Source organism: Homo sapiens, chromosome 1, assembly GCF_000001405.40.
Source record: "Homo sapiens chromosome 1, GRCh38.p14 Primary Assembly".
NCBI classification, from domain to species: Eukaryota; Metazoa; Chordata; class Mammalia; order Primates; family Hominidae; genus Homo; species Homo sapiens.
Genome location: NC_000001.11, coordinates 247,881,070 through 247,899,313, shown reverse-complemented (window position 1 = coordinate 247,899,313; position 18,244 = coordinate 247,881,070). Strand labels below are relative to the sequence as shown.

The window sequence follows — 18,244 nt, the reverse complement described above, 5'->3', positions numbered from 1 at the left end:
CTTAAAAATAATCACTAATAAAACCGGCAGAGCCTTGACCATTCTGACCCAGCAAGAAACTCAGATGAGAAATGCTATCTATCAAAACAGATTGGCTCTTGACTACTTGCTAGCAGCTGAAGGAGAAGTCTGTAGGAAATTTAACCTTATTAATTGCTGCCTACACATAGATAATCAAGGGCAAGTATTTGAAGACATAGTTAGAGATATGACAAAACTGGCACACGTGCCCATGCAAGTGTGACGGATTTGATCCTGGGGCCATGTTTAGAAAATGGTTCCCAGAGCTAGGAGGATTTAAAACTCTTATAATAAGAGTTATAATAGTAATAGGAACCTACTTACTGCTCCTTTGTTTGCTACCTGTACTTCTTCAAATGATAAAAAGCTTCATCACTACCTTAGTTCACCAAAAGCTTCAGCACAAGTGTACTATATGAATCACTATTGATCTGTCTTGCCAGAAGACATGGGTAGTAAAAATGAAAGTGAGAACTCCCACTATTGAGTGAGACTCTCAAAGGGGGGAATAAGGGAGTAGACCACCCCTCATATTGTCTTATGCCCAATTTCTGCCTCCAAAGAAAAAAAAAGTAAAAACTAAAAGGCAAATATCAAATCCACAAGCAGACAGCCCAGCACCACACCCTGGGCCTGGTAGTTAAAGATTGACCCCTGACATAATCGGTTATGTTATCTATAGATTACAGACATTGTATAGAAAAGCACTGTGAAAATCCCTGTCCTGTTTTGTTCCGATCTAATTACCAGCCCCCAGTCACGTACCCCCTACTTGCTCAATCGATCACGACCCTCTCACGCGCACCCCCTTAGAGTTGTGAGCCCTTAAAAGGGACGGGAATTGCTCACTTGGGGAGCTCGGCTCTTGAGACAGGAGTCTTGCCGATGCCCCTGGTCGAATAAACCCCTTCCTTCTCTAACTCGGTGTCTGAGGAGTTTTGTCTGCGGCTCTTCCTACTACACATCCACATCAGTACTTCTTACAAACAGCATCCTTGAATAGTCAGAGGGGGTGCTCTGGAAGCACAGGAATCCCCCTCTCTGGGGCTCTGGTTTGTTTACACTTACACAATGCCCTGGGGCTGGTGACTTTAGATGTGAGGTGTGGAGGTGAGGAGGATACAAAAGAGCGCAGAAATACACTTGTGGAGGAGGAGGGAGCCGAGCACAGGAGCAACGGCAGAGGAATGAGGACCACCCCTCAGCTGGCCTTTCACACCACTCCCTCTCACCTTGTGTTCGCCCTTGGTCTATGAACACTCTCCCAACTTTTTCCAGAATGTGTCCACCCTCCAAATGCCCGGAACAAGAGCAGGGGGTGATATACTTCCTGGGTTCTTAAAATGTAGTCCGAGTCCCCAAAGTAGGGACATCACCTGGGAGGTTTGCAGAGTCGCAGAAACTCAGACCCCTCTTATCACCAGCTGAATTGGAATTGCATTGGAACAAGACCTCAGATAACTGGAGGGCACGTTAGTGGGACACATTGAGGACTGCAATGTGTAAGGAACAGTAGCCAGTCATGCCCCTTAGCCCCAAAGGGTCTTTGACATTGTGTGCCAAATGCTTAAGGATTTTTGCTCTTTGAAATTTCATGATGCAATAGAAACCATATGAATCGGGAGTCTGACAGAACTTGGAAAAAACCCTGGTTCAGTTCCCCTCGAGCAAAAGATTTAACCTTCAGATCTCAAGGACCAGGGAGATAAAATGGGAATAATGATAATCATGCTGACCTCATACAAATACTGAGGTTGCATGACTTAGGAGCGTCTGGTACACAGAAGGGACTAAACCAATGTCAGGTTCTTCTTACTAATAATGAAAAAAACATGCCTGAGAAAGAATGATGCTTTAAGATTTAAACAACCCATGCATCATAACTTACAGGTTCACTTCTTGGTTTATGCAGAATCTTACACCAGATAAAGGGTAAAACAAACTCTACGATTTCATGAAAAGGTTTGGGTAGGAATTGGGAATATAGAAAATATAAAACTGTGCTGCATTCCATGATTTGATGGCCCTAAACAGAGAGGCACTTGGACCACGTGGAGAACAGTGATGCATTTGGGGTCATTCTGACTGAAACATGTCAGGTGTGTTAGACTTTAAAGCAAACAACAACAAACAAAGCAAAGCTCTGATTGAGAAGAGTTATTTCCTCTTAGCACTCTGGTATAAGTAGGTGGAAACTCATCTTTACAACTGTTTGTCTCACTTCATTCTTTGCAGCTGCTTTACAGATCATGATGGGTTTTGGGGATGATTTGTGTTATATAGTTCACACATAAATCACATAATGTTGGCCAGTCGCAGTGACTCACACTTGTAATCCCAGAACTTTTAGGAGGCCATGGCAGGGGGATCACATGAGGCCAGGAGTTTGGGACCAGCCTGGTCAACACAGCAAGACCCCGTCTCCATAGAAGACAGAAAAGCCACAAGCCACAATTCCCACTGCCAGTGATGCACACCTGTAGTCCCAGTTACTTGGAAGGCTGAGGTGGGGGAGGATCGCTTAAGCCCAATAGTCGAAGGAGCTATGGTGGCACCACTGCACTCTACCCTAGGTGACAGAGTGAGACCCCGTCTCAATTTTAAGAGCAACAACAAAAACACATAATGTCAGAACTGAAACAGCCTCACAAAAGTCCAGAAAAAGGCAAGTTGGGAGTCGTGGGCTAATATCAGCTGGAATTCAGCCGTTCCAGATGCTGCCAGTGGCCCTGGATGGAAGTGAAGTCAGGTGGAGATGCCTTTACTCCTTTCCTAGCTCTCTCTTCCCCAGAAGCAACCTTCCCAGTGCCCCCTTCACCTCTCTGTTTCTGAGGGTGTAGATGAGAGGATTGAGGAGGGGGGTGACAATGTTGTAGAAGAGCATGAGGAACATGCCCTGGTCCTGGGAAGAACTGGCTCCTGGCTGCATGTACATGTAGATGATGTTTCCATAGAAAAGGGAGACCACAGTGAGATGGGAGCCGCAGGTGCCGAAGGCCTTCTGCCTTCCTGATGCTGACCGAATTTGTAACACAGCCCTCACAATGTAGCTGTAAGAGAGCAGGATAAACACCAAGGGGGACAGCACAACACCCACCGCCAGGACAAAGACGGTGCCTTCGATGGCCACAGTGCTGACGCAGGCCATCCGGATCAGGGCGGGCATCTCACGCAGGAAGTGGTCCACCTCGTGGTGCCCACAGCGGGGTAAGCGCAGGGTCACAGGAGACATGGCCAAGGAGTTGGCCACCCCACAGCCCCAGGTCACTGACACCAAGCCCCGGCAGAGCCTGGGGTTCATGATCACCATGTAGTGCAGGGGCTTGCAGATAGCCACACACCGGTCATAGGCCATGACAGCCAGAAGCAGGCACTCCACACCACCCAGACCCAGGAACAGGAAGAGCTGGATGGCACAGCCCATGTAGCTGATGGTCTTGTCACATCCATTAAGGTTGTAGAGCAGCTGGGGGATGGAGCTGGTGGTGAAACTGAGGTCCAGGAAGGAAAGGTGGGCGAGGAAGAAGTACATGGGGGTGTGGAGGTGGGGGTCCAGCCGGGACACCAGGATGATGGTGGTGTTGCCTACGAGGGTCAGGAGGTACGCGATCAGGATGACCACAAAGAGGATCCTCTCCAGATGGGGTCGGTCAGAGAATCCCAGTAGGATGAAATGGGTTTGGGTGCTGCCATTGGTTCCATCCATCTCTACTGCTGCTGAACAGAAATATCAATCCTAATAATAATAATAACAGCTGATATTAAGGGAGAACTTACTAGAAGCTAAGCATTCTTCTATGCTTTTTATATTTATTTTATTCATTCAACCCCAACAGTTATATGGAGTTGCACTATTATTATTAGCTCCCAACTTATAGAAAAGGAAACTGAAACACATGTGTGTTGAGCAAACTGTGATATGTAGGAAGACACAGAGCTGATTCTGAACCCCGGCAATGTAGCTGAGAGTGTGCAATCTAAACCACCAGTAGCACTGCCTCCAAATCCAGTGAAGTGAAGGCAAATCCTGCTGTGGCCAAACCACGAATTTTTCTAGAGACTCCAGTCCCTAGGCTCCTGCCAAAAACCTCAAGGACTCAAAATGGAGCCTCAAAATAATCCATCAATAGTATTTAGGAAATACTCTTTACACACAGAGTACTTTATCTATTACTGGTCTCAAAGACACACCTCATTCATTGGGTTACCATTACTGAGGTAATTTTTAAATTACCTCAGAATTTAATTTAATTTAATTTTAAAATTACCTCAGTAGATAAATAATGTAAGAGACAGGCAAAATACACATAAAATCTCTTTTTTTCTCTCTGTCTTTTAAATGGGCCTGGTATTGAACAAATAGAGTGTATGGGTTTTTCTTCCAAAGTACTATATACTGCTTGAGAGGATAAAAGAGATTGAAAAAACTTTGTAACAGATATTACAACTGTAATGCAAAATTCACGCATATGTACAGAAACCTCTATCACGTTCCAACTCTAATACCACATCACATTCAAAGCAAAGCATATTTGATAAGACAAACCACAAGTCTTACAGATGGATATAGGGAGACTTGGTCCATCCTGGTGTTTGGGTGATGGATGCATTAAAAGCCAAGACTTCGCCACTGTGCAATACATGCAGCTAAAAAGCAGTACCCCCAAATTAATATAAATAGATATAAGCATGTATGTGCAGGTAAAAAGCAGTACTCCCAAATTAATATAAATAGATATAAGTATGTATGTGCAGGTAAAAAGCAGTACTCCCAAATTAATATAAATAGATATAAGTATGTATGTGCAGGTAAAAAGCAGTACTCCCAAATTAATATAAATAGATATAAGCATGTATGTGCAGGTAAAAAGCAGTACTCGCAAATTAATATAAATCCATACGTGGAGGTAACAAAACAGTACTCCCAAACTAAGACAAATAAAAATAAATACATGCGAAGATGGCCGAATAGGAACAGCTCCGGTCTACAGCTCCCAGCGTGAGCGACGCAGAAGACAGGTGATTTCTGCATTTCCATCTGAGGTACCGGGTTCATCTCACTAGGGAGTGCCAGACAGTGGGCGCAGGCCAGTGGGTGCGCGCACCGTGCACAAGCCGAAGCAGGGCGAGGCATTGCCTCACCTGGGAAGCGCAAGGGGTCAGGGAGTTCCCTTTCCCAGTCAAAGAAAGGGGTGACGGACGCACCTGGAAAATCAGGTCACTCCCACCCGAATATTGCGCTTTTCAGACCGGCTTAAAAAACGGCGCACCACGAGACTATATCCCACACCTGGCTCGGAGGGTCCTACGCCCATGCAATCTCGCTGATTGCTAGCACAGCAGTCTGAGATCAAACTGCAAGGCAGCAGCGAGGCTGGGGGAGGGGCGCCCGCCATTGCCCAGGCTTGCTTAGGTAAACAAAGCAGCCTGGAAGCTCGAACTGGGTGGAGCCCACCACAGCTCAAGGAGGCCTGCCTGCCTCTGTAGGCTCCACCTCTGGGGGCAGGGCACAGACAAACAAAAAGACAGCAGTAACCTCTGCAGACTTAAATGTCCCTGTCTGACAGCTTTGAAGAGAGCAGTGGTTCTCCCAGCATGCAGCTGGAGATCTGAGAACGGGCAGACTGCCTCCTCAAGTGGGTCCCTGACCCCTGACCCCCGAGCAGCCTAACTGGGAGGCACCCCCCAGCAGGGGCACACTGACACCTCACACGGCAGGGTATTCCAACAGACCTGCAGCTGAGGGTCCTGTCTGTTAGAAGGAAAACTAACAAACAGAAAGGACATCCACACCAAAAACCCATCTGTACATCACCATCATCAAAGACCAAAAGTAGATAAAACCACAAAGATGGGGAAAAAACAGAACAGAAAAACTGGAAACTCTAAAACGCAGAGCGCCTCTCCTCCTCCAAAGGAACGCAGTTCCTCACCAGCAACAGAACAAAGCTGGATGGAGATTGATTTTGACGAGCTGAGAGAAGAAGGCTTCAGACGATCAAATTACTCTGAGCTACGGGAGGACATTCAAACCAAAGGCAAAGAAGTTGAAAACTTTGAAAAAAATTTAGAAGAATGTATAACTAGAATAACCAATACAGAGAAGTGCTTAAAGGAGCTGAAGGAGCTGAAAACCAAGGCTCGAGAACTACATGAAGAATGCAGAAGCCTCAGGTGCCGATGCGATCAACTGGAAGAAAGGGTATCAGCAATGGAAGATGAAATAAATGAAATGAAGCGAGAAGGGAAGTTTAGAGAAAAAAGAATAAAAAGAAATGAGCAAAGCCTCCAAGAAATATGGGACTATGTGAAAAGACCAAATCTACGTCTGATTGGTGTACCTGAAAGTGATGCGGAGAATGGAATCAAGTTGGAAAACAGTCTGCAGGATATTATCCAGGAGAACTTCCCCAATATAGCAAGGCAGGCCAACGTTCAGATTCAGGAAATACAGAGAACGCCACAAAGATACTCCTTGAGAAGAGCAACTCCAAGACACATAATTGTCAGATTCACCAAAGTTGAAATGAAGGAAAAAATGTTAAGGGCAGCCAGAGAGAAAGGTCGGGTTACCCTCAAAGGGAAGCCCATCAGACTAACAGCGGATCTCTTGGCAGAAACCCTACAAGCCAGAAGAGAGTGGGGGCCAATATTCAACATTCTTAAAGAAAAGAATTTTCAACCCAGAATTTCATATCCAGCCAAACTAAGCTTCATAAGTGAAGGAGAAATAAAATACTTTACAGACAAGCAAACGCTGAGAGATTTTGTCACCACCAGGCCTGCCCCAAAAGAGCTCCTGAAGGAAGTGCTAAACATGGAAAGGAACAACCGGTACCAGCCGCTGCAAAATCATGCCAAAATGTAAAGACCATTGAGACTAGGAAGAAACTGCATCAACTAACGAGCAAAATCACCAGCTAACATCATAATGACAGGATCAAATTCACACATTACAATATTAACCTTAAATGTAAATGGACTAAATTCTCCAATTAAAAGACACAGACTGGCAAGTTGGATAAAAAGTCAAGACCCATCAGTGTGCTGTATTCAGGAAACCCATCTCACGTGCAGAGACACACATAGGCTCAAAATAAAAGGATGGAGGAAGATCTACCAAGCAAATGGAAAACAAAAAAAGGCAGGGGTTGCAATCCTAGTCTCTGATAAAACAGACTTTAAACCAACAAAGATCAAAAGAGACAAAGAAGGCCATTACATAATGGTAAAGGATCAATTCAACAAGAGGAGCTAACTATCCTAAATATATATGCACCCAATACAGGAGCACCCAGATTCATAAAGCAAGTCCTGAGTGACCTACAAAGAGACTTAGACTCCCACACATTAATAATGGGAGACTTTAACACCCTACTGTCAACATTAGACAGATCAACGAGACAGAAAGTCAACAAGGATACCCAGGAATTGAACACAGCTCTGCACCAAGCGGACCTAATAGACATCTACAGAACTCTCCACCCCAAATCAACAGAATATACATTTTTTTCAGCACCACACCACACCTATTCCAAAATTGACCACATAGTTGGAAGTAAAGCTCTCCTCAGCAAATGTAAAAGAACAGAAATTGTAACAAACTATCTCTCAGACCACAGTGCAATCAAACTAGAACTCAGGATTAAGAATCTCACTCAAAGCCGCTCAACTACATGGAAACTGAACAACCTGCTCCTGAATGACTACTGGGTACATAACAAAAAGAAGGCAGAAATAAAGATGTTCTTTGAAACCAACAAGAACAATGACACAACATACCAGAATCTCTGGGACGCATTCAAAGCAGTGTGTAGAGGGAAATTTATAGCACTAAATGCCCACAAGAGAAAGCAGGAAAGATCCAAAATTGACACCCTAACATCACAATTAAAAGAACTAGAAAAGCAACAGCAAACACATTCAAAAGCTAGCAGAAGGCAAGAAATAACTAAAATCAGAGCAGAACTGAAGGAAATACAGACACAAAAAACCCTTCAAAAAATCAATGAATCCAGGAGCTGGTTTTTTGAAAGGATCAACAAAATTGATAGACCGCTAGCAAGACTAATAAAGAAAAAAAGAGAGAAGAATCAAATAGACACAATAAAAAATGATAAATGGGATATCACCACCGATCCCACAGAAATACAAACTACCATCAGAGAATACTACAAACACCTCTACGCAAATAAACTAGAAAATCTAGAAGAAATGGATAAATTCCTCGACACATACACTCTCCCAAGACTAAACCAGGAAGAAGTTGAATCTCTGAATAGACCAATAACAGGAGCTGAAATTGTGGCAATAATCAATAGTTTACCAACCAAAAAGAGTCCAGGACCAGATGGATTCACAGCTGAATTCTACCAGAGGTACAAGGAGGAACTGGTACCATTCCTTCTGAAACTAATCCAATCAATAGAAAAAGAGGGAATCCTCCCTAACTCATTGTATGAGGCCAGCATCATTCTGATACCAAAGCCAGGCAGAGACACAACCAAAAAAGAGAATTTTAGACCAATATCCTTGATGAACATTGATGCAAAAATCCTCAATAAAATACTGGCAAACTGAATCCAGCAGCACATTAAAAAGCTTATCCACCATGATCAAGTGGGCTTCATCCCTGGGATGCAAGGCTGGTTCAATATACGCAAATCAATAAATGTAATCGAGCATATAAACAGAGCCAAAGACAAAAACCACATGATTATCTCAATAGATGCAGAAAAGGCCTTTGACAAAATTCAACAACCCTTCATGCTAAAAACTCTCAATAAATTAGGTATTGATGGGACGTATCTCAAAATAATAAGAGCTATCTATGACAAAGCCACAGCCAATATCATACTGAATGGGCAAAAACTGGAAGCATTCCCTTTGAAAACTGGCACAAGACAGGGATGCCCTCTATCACCACTCCTATTCAACATAGTGTTGGAAGTTCTGGCCAGGGCAATTAGGCAGGAGAAGGAAATAAAGGGTATTCAATTAGGAAAAGAGGAAGTCAAATTGTCCCTGTTTGCAGACGACATGATTGTTTATCTAGAAAACCCCATTGTCTCAGCCCAAAATCTCCTTAAGCTGATAAGCAACTTCAGCAAAGTCTCAGGATACAAAATCAATGTACAAAAATCACAAGCATTCCTATACACCAACAACAGACAAACAGAGAGCCAAATCATGAGTGAACTCCCATTCACAATTGCTTCAAAGAGAATAAAATACCTAGGAATCCAACTTACAAGGGATGTGAAGGACCTCTTCAAGGAGAACTACAAACCACTACTCAAGGAAATAAAAGAGGATACAAACAAATGGAAGAACATTCCATGCTCATGGGTAGGAAGAATCAATATCGTGAAAATGGCCATACTGCCCAAGGTAATTTACAGATTCAATGCCATCCCCATCAAGCTACCAATGACTTTCTTCACAGAATTGGAAAAAACTACTTTAAAGTTCATATGGAACCAAAAAAGAGCCTGCATCGCCAAGTCAATCCTAAGCCAAAAGAACAAAGCTGGAGGCATCACACTACCTGACTTCAAACTATACTACAAGGCTACAGTAACCAAAACAGCATGGTACTGGTACCAAAACAGAGATATAGATCAACGGAACAGAACAGAGCCCTCAGAAATAACGCCGCTTACCTACAACTATCTGATCTTTGACAAACCTGAGAAAAACAAGGAATGGGGAAAGGATTCCCTTTTTAATAAATGGTGCTGGGAAAACTGGCTAGCCATATGTAGAAAGCTGAAACTGGATCCTTTCCTTACACCTTATACAAAAATCAATTCAAGATGGATTAAAGATTTAAACGTTAGACCTAAAACCATAAAAACCCTAGAAGAAAACCTAGGCATTACCATTCAGGACATAGGCGTGGGCAAGGACTTCATGTCCAAAACACCAAAAGCAATGGCAACAAAAGCCAAAATTGACAAATGGGATCTAATTAAACTAAAGAGCTTCTGCACAGCAAAAGAAACTACCATCAGAGTGAACAGGCAACCTACAACATGGGAGAAAATTTTTGCAACCTACTCATCTGACAAAGGGCTAATATCCAGAATCTACAATGAACTCAAACAAATTTACAAGAAAAAAACAACCCCATCAAAAAGTGGGCGAAGGACATGAACAGACACTTCTCAAAAGAAAACATTTATGCAGCCAAAAAACACATGAAAAAATGCTCATCATCACTGGCCATCAGAGAAATGCAAATCAAAACCACTATGAGATATCATCTCACACCAGTTAGAATGGCAATCATTAAAAAGTCAGGAAACAACAGGTGCTGGAGAGGATGTGGAGAAATAGGAACACTTTTACACTGTTGGTGGGACTGTAAACTAGTTCAACCATTGTGGAAGTCAGTGTGGCGATTCCTCAGGGATCTAGAACTAGAAATACCATTTGACCCAGCCATCCCATTACTGGGTATATACACAAAGGACTATAAATCATGCTTCTATAAAGACACATGCACACGTATGTTTATTGCGGCATTATTCACAATAGCAAAGACTTGGAACTAACCCAAATGTCCAACAATGATAGACTGGATTAAGAAAATGTGGCACATATACACCATGGAATACTATGCAGCCATAAAAAATGATGAGTTCATGTCCTTTGTAGGGACATGGATGAAATTGGAAACCATCATTCTCAGTAAACTATCGCAAGAACAAAAAACCAAACACCACATATTCTCACTCATAGATGGGAATTGAACAATGAGATCACATGGACACAGGAAGGGGAATATCACACTCTGGGGACTGTGGTGGGGAGGGGGGAGGGAGGAGGGATAGCATTGGGAGATATACCTAATGCTAGATGACGAGTTAGTGGGTGCAGCGCACCAGCATGGCACATGTATACATATGTAACTAACCTGCACAATGTGCACATGTACCCTAAAACTTAAAGTATAATTAAAAAATAAATAAAAAAAGAAAAAATAAATAAATTAATTAAAAAAAATCATTAAGATCTCTGCCTACAGAAAAACTAGTTTTTGTAGTGAATGCTCAATAAATACATTTTTTCTTTGTTAAAAAATAAATAAATATATAAATAAATAAATACATGCATACATTTTGGGCTACAGCTCCAAACTACTCTGCATTATCCCTATGCCAACAAGACTAAATTACAAGATGTCAGCAAGCTCATTTGTCTTTTCACAGTTTTCTCATCTAAAATGGTAATAATCAAACCTACCTTACTTAGTTTACAGCTATGCTTTGAGAGTTTTTAATGTGAAATATAAATATATAAAACATATACAAGTTCAGTGAGTGTCAAGGTTTCTACATATGTTACAAAAAAAGGTGAAGTGTCATGCAAACACAGAACAGAAACACAAGCCCATAAGTCTAGCCAGAGAAATCCAGAAGAAAAAAAGCCTACTGAAGAGAAACTATCTTATATCTAATCAAGCTTTCAAAATACAATAACTACATCATGATAACTGACAAGGCATTTGTGGGAGGAAGGGAGTGTGGGTCGCTTCTTTATTACCTACACCAAAAATATAAAATTACAAATTATATATTTAAACATTTAAAAAATACAACTACAATCAGAAAGCATGACAGTTATTTTTCCTTTTTTTCCCAATTATCTTGAATAAGTATACATCATAAGCCAAGTTGCAATTCTCGAAAGTTAAAAAGCAAAACATAGATAAATTGTATTACCTATTTAGAAAAATTTACACTCTAAGAAACACTTTTGGCCAGGTGCGGTGGCTCATGCCTGTAATCCCAGCCCTTTGGGAGGCCAAGGTGGGTGGATCACCTGAGGTCAGGAGTTCACAACTAGCCTGGCCAACACAGTGAAAGCCCTTCTCTACTAAACATACAAAAATTACATAGGTGTGGTGGTGCACACCTGTAATCCCAGCTACTCGGGAGGTTGAGGCAGAAGAATAGCGTGAACCCGGGAGGCGGAGGTTGCAGTGAGCCGAGATCGTGTCACTGCACTCCAGCTTGGGTGACAGAGTAAGACTCTGTCTCAAAAACAAAACAAAACAAAACAAAAAGAAACACTACTAGCAAAGTCTAAAAAATAATAACAATAGTAGAAAAATTCAACAAGACAACTGAAGGCTACCTTACTTAATTTTTTTCTCAAAAAAGTGGCAAGAAAAACCTGTAGTAAAAGAAAAATATGTAATGACTTGAAGAAACAGTTCACAGGAAAATGCATGATTTACAAGCAAGTGATATAAACATTAGAAATGTTTTCACTGATGATTGAGGTTATAAAAATTTAAATATAAAGATATTTGCTTTTCCAGATAGGTAAATAGTGAAAAGTGTGGTAATATCCAGAGCTTGAAAAAATGTGGGAAATAAGTCCAATCTCATAAACTTTTTTTTTTTTTTTTGAGACAGAGTCTCACTGTATCACTCAGGCTGGAGTGCAGTGGTGTGATCTGGGCTCACTGCAGCCTCATCCTCCCAGGTTCTCCTGCCTCAGCCTCCCAAGTAGCTGAGATTACAGGCATGTGCCACCACACCCAGCTAATTTTTGTATATTTAGTTGAGATGGGGTTTTGCCATGTTGCCCAGGCTGGTCTTGAACTCCTGATCTCAAGCGATCCACCCATCTTGGACTCCCAAAGTGCCAGGATTACAGGTATGAGCCATCATGCCTGGCCTCATGAACTCTTGATAAGAGTCAAAATTGAAATAGTATCTTTGGAGAGATCTTAAAAAAATGACTATTTAAATACACATATACCTTGACATAGTACATATTATTTTAACAAAAGAAATATCTGTCTTTCATAAAATGTTAAATGACATGCTTTTCTCATTGCCCTGTTAATTCCACATCTAGGAATCTGCTTTGCATTTATTAACCCTCAATCAGTAAACACATACTCTCAAAAACTTCATTATAGCATCTACTGAAATAGATAATACTGGGAAACAAGGTATGTTAAAGTGATAGACATGATTTAATAGACGACTGGAAACAATCACTAAATTGGAATGACATTACCCAGAATTTTGTCCAAAAAAAAGATATTAATATCAAACAAGTAGAAAGCTAACTATACTGGGTGCGGTGCCTCACGCCTGTAATCCCAGCACTTTGGGAGGCTGAGGAGGGTGGATCACGAGGTCAGGAGTTCGAGACCAGCCTGGCCAGGATGGTGAAACCCCATCTCTACTAAAATATACAAAAATTAGCCAGGCATGGTGGCACATGCTTGTAACCCCAGCTACTTAGGAGGCTGAGGCAGGAGAATCGCTTGAACCCGGGAGGCGGAGGTTGCAGTGAGGCAAGATCGCACCACTGCACTCCAGCCTGGTGACGGAGCGAGACTCCATCTCAAAAAACAAAAAAAAAAAGAAAGAAAGCTAAATATAATGTATAGTGAGATTATATGTAGTGTGACTCCATTTTTTGTTCACAAACTCTCACTATACAAACACAAATACACACGGTACGTATATATGTATACAGGCACATGTTGCAGAACAACACATTTTGGTCAACAACAAATTACATCTGTGGTGGTTTCACCTCCTCAAGAGGAGTCTGAGGCAGGTCCTTCAGGCAGTATCGTAGAAGGCATTGTGATCATAGGAGGTGACAGCTCCATGCATGTGGCTGCCCCGGAAATCCTTCCAGTGGGACAAGGTGTAGAGGTGGAAGACAGTGGTACTGATCATTCTGTCTCAGTGGACACCCAGGCTAATGTGTTTGCTTGTGTCTTAGTTTGCAATGAAAAAGTTTGAAAAGTGAAAAAAAAAAAAAAATAGAATATAACTTGTAGAATAAGAATAAAAAGGAAGTATTTAATACAGTTTTACAATGTGTGTTTTAAGCTAAGTGCTATTACAAAAAAAGTCACAAAGTTAATAAAAAGTAAAAGGTTTACAATGTAAAAATGTTTCCATAAACTAAGGATAGTTTCTAATTGAAGAAAGAAAAATACTTTTTAATGCATTTAATATAGACTAAGTGTACAAAGTTGATAAAGTCTGTAGTCATGTACACGACTGTCCTGGCTCTTCACATTCAGTCACCACCCACTCACTGACTCACCCAGAGCAACTTCCAGTCCTGCAAGCTCCATTCATGGTAAATGCCCTAGACAGGTTACCATTTTCTGTATTTTATACAGTATTTTTACTGTGCCTTTTCTATATTTAGATACACATATACTTACCACGGAGTGACAGCTGTCTTCAGTATTCACTACAGTACCATGCTGTACTCGTCTGTAGCCTAGGAGTGACAAGCTATCCCAGACACTTATGGCCCAGGATTGTGGTAGGATACACCATCTGGGTTTGTGTAAGTACATGCTGTGATGCTCACACAACGACAACATCACCTAACGACGCCTTTCTCAGAACACATCCCCATCGTTAAGCAACGCATGACTGTATTTGTATTCAAACAGAACTGATATCTGGACGTACGGTTTGAAATTGTTGAAAAGGCTCATTTCTAGCTTGGGCAACATGGGGAGACACCATCTGTACAAAAGTCAAAATTAAACCTTAGCCCGGCACGGTCGCACAAAGGTGTGGTCCCAGCTACTCAAGAGACTGAGGTACGGGGGTCAATGGGCCCAGGAGGTCGAGGCTGCAGTGAGCTGTGATCATGCCACTGGCACCTCAGCCTGGGCGACAGAGTGAGACCCTGTCCTCCCCGACCCCCGCCAAAAAGAGACTCACTTTTAGAAAGTGAAGTGGAGGTTAAAGAAGACTCTCATTAGAACGGGCACGGTGGCTCACGCCTGTAATCCCAGCACTTTGGGAGGCTGAGGCAGGTGGATCACCTGAGGTTGGGAGTTCGAGGTCAGCCTGACCAACATGGAAAACCCCATCTCTACTAAAAATACAAAAAAAAAAGAAATTAGTCGTGCGTGGTGGCGTATGCCTGTAATCCCAGCTACTCGGGAGGCTGAGGCAGGAGAATCACTAGCACCCGAGAGGCGGAGGTTATAGTGAGCCGAGACCACCCCATTGTACACCAGCCCGGGAGACAGAGCGAAACACTGTCTCAAACATAATAATAATAATAATAGTAATAATAATAATTTTGCATTGGTAGATGTAGTGCTTTGTTATAATTAAACGACTTGTGATATAAGTGCTGTCTGTGTATGTCTTTGTGTGTTGGTGTGTCTGTCATAATTTTTTTTTTTTTTTTGAGACTGAGTTTCGCTCTGTCGCCCAGGCTGGAGTGCAGGGGCGCGATCTCGGCTCACTGCAAGCTCTGCCTCCCGGGTTCACGCCATTCTCCTGCCTCAGCCTCCCAAGTAGCTGGGACTACAGGCGCCCACCACCATGCCCGGCTAATTTTTTTGTATTTTTAGTAGAGACGGGGTTTCACCGTGTTAGCCAGGATGGTCTCGATCTCCTGACCTCGTGATCCGCCCGCCTCGGCCTCCCAAAGTGCTGGGATTACAGTCGTGAGCCGCCACGCCCGGCCTGTCATAATTTATAAATGTTCTAAGAGCAAGGAGTATGTTCTTCAGATTTTTTTAACCCTTGAGGCACTCCCTATGACTTATTCATTTAACAAACCAACCTAGACGTGCAGACCTCTGAGCTGAGTTCCTCAATCCAGAAACCTGCTCACCATTTTCACTTGCATGCTGCTAGGCAACACTGAAAGAATGCAGGAACACAGACATAGCGAGAGGGCCTCAGCCAGGTCACGAAATGCCTTCTACCCTCTTGGGCGCACACAGGTGCTGTAGCCAGGCGTAAGGAAATCCAAGTGCCTCTCTCAGGCTTGGCCCATTCCTTATAAATGCAATGGCCCACAGTATTGGTGAACAGGGGTTTCTTGCAATTACGCAGTGTTGCAGCTCCGCTGAGGGAAGACTGGAGACGGACCCTGATGGCAGCCTGGGTTCATCAGCAGCCCAAAGCGCTGGGGAAACTTCAGACCCACAGGGATCACCAGCACATCCACTGAGGCAGAGGCGCGCACCACATCAAATTGCCCAATCTCCCGTCAGGTCCAGAGAGAAAATGAGCACCATGAGAATTTGTCCCTTGATATAAAAAGAATTTACTACCTCACATAAGTAAAATTAGGGGACTCAATTCATTGCTGTTCTAAAACCATAAATACCAATGAGCCATTTGCTCCCCTCCCCTGTTCCCAACAATCATTATACGGCTAAGAAAACAGCTGAGGCATAATTGGTCCCATGCTACCTAGAACAGAATCATGCATTTTGTTTTTTCTCTCTCGTTTTATCTGCTGAAAATAGGGCCAAAATATTTTGACATCTTCTTTTTACTAATATTTTTGTGTATGAAAGAGAAAGAACCCATTGTCCTACATAGTGAAAAAAATCACATAAAGTGTATTATTACATTAAGGAGCTACAGCATGGCCTGTTCTATTTTTATTTATTTATTTATTTTGAGACGGAGTTTTGCTCTTTTGCCCAGGCTGGAGTGAAGTGGTGCAATCTCTGCTCACTGTGACTTGCAACCTCCATCCCCCCAGGTTCAAGCAATTCTCCTGCCTCAGCCTCCCTAGTACCTGGGATTATAGGCACCCGCCATCACGCCTGGCTAATTTTTGTATTTTTAGTAGAGATGAGGTTTTACCATGTTGGCCAGGCTGGTCTTGAACCCCTGACCTCAGGTGATCCACGCCCGTTGGCCTCCCAAAGTGCTGGGATTACAGGTGTGAGCCACTGCGCCCAGCCTTATTTTTACTTTTTGGTTTGAAAGGAAGATGTTAGCATACATAGGTTTATAGTTTCAAAAACTGATAAGGAAATTGAGCAAGTATCATGACTTAGGTATGTATATGTAACTATGTTTTCAATGCTCTTATAAAGGCAAAAATGACATCGCAATGCTGAATTTTTTAAAGAAAATAAATATACAGAAATAGCCAAGCAATGTCAGAAAAAAAATCAGACTTAGAGTCAATTAACTAAGAAACTTATCAATATGACTGGGTACTTTTGGGTAGATGTAGTCAGAGAATTAGAGAGTAAAGAGACTATTCTACATGGTGTAGAATTCATAGAATATGTGTGGTACACATACGCAGGCCCTGACGTCCTTTCTTCCTCCCTGTGTGATAGAAAAGCAGACCACAGGGGGCCCCAGCAGCACAGAGAAAGCAAGTACCAAGGAGTCAGTGCTTGGAGGGCAGACAGGTTGAACAGATCCCAGTGTTCCCAATTCTCTGCGTTCTGGGGTTCTAGGGGTTGCAATCACCACTCTAAGTGCTTTCCATTACTTTTGCTGGCTAAAGAGGTTATTTCACTTCCCACTCCTGATTGCTCCCTGTATCCCCTCCTCCCAGTCCTCTTCACTCAGGGCCTTCTCAACATGCTAGAAAAATTAGTCTAAGGCCGGGTGCAGTGGCCCACACCTGTAATCCCAGCACTTTGGGAGGCTGAGGCAGGCGGATCACCTGAGGTCAGGAGTTCAAGACCACTAGCCTGGCCAACATGGCGAAACCCCGTCTCTACTAAAAACACAAAAATTAGCTGGGTGTGGTGGCGGGCGCCTGTAGTCCCAGCTACTCAGGAGGCTGAGGCAGGAGAATCACTTGAACCCGGGAGGCAAAGCTTACAGTGAGCCAAGATCATGCCACTGTACTCCAGCCTGAGTGACAGAGTGAGACTCCATCTCAAAAAAAAAAAGCTTAGTAAATTGATAAACCAGTCACCTGATTTGGAGAAGGGGTCATGAGGGTATGTTGGCCTGTTCTCACACTGCTATAAATATCTGAAACTGGAAAACTTATGAAGAAAACAGGTTTAGTTGGCTCACGGTTCCACAGGCCGTGCAGGAAGCAAGGCAGCATCTGCTTCCAGGAGGCCTCAGGGAGCTTTTACTCATGGCAGAAGGCAAAGCAGGAACTGGTGTCTTGCGTGGCAAGAGCAGGGGCAAGAGAAAGTTGCAGAGCCACACACTTTTAAACAACCAGATTTCACAACTTATCCAAGGGGGATGGTGTTAGACCATGAGAAACTGCCCCCATGATCCAATCACCTCCCACCAGGCCCACCTCCAACACTGGGGATTATAACTGAGCATGAGATTTGGGTGGGGGCACAAAGCCAAACCATATCGGGGGGTATTAAGCAAATTACTTCTTTGAATAAATTATCCACACTTCTGGATATGTAGACATAGTTCTGGAGGGTTATAGCTTAGAAAAGGCTAGAAGCTCATGTTGG

General features: G+C 42.9%; 1 protein-coding gene across 1 annotated transcript; it reads right to left on the bottom strand.

The window, feature by feature from the left end:
• On the bottom strand, positions 2,783–3,727 carry OR2W3 (olfactory receptor family 2 subfamily W member 3). The gene has a single exon (NM_001001957.2). It carries the CDS (start codon positions 3,725–3,727, stop codon positions 2,783–2,785), a length of 945 nt encoding a protein of 314 aa, NP_001001957.2.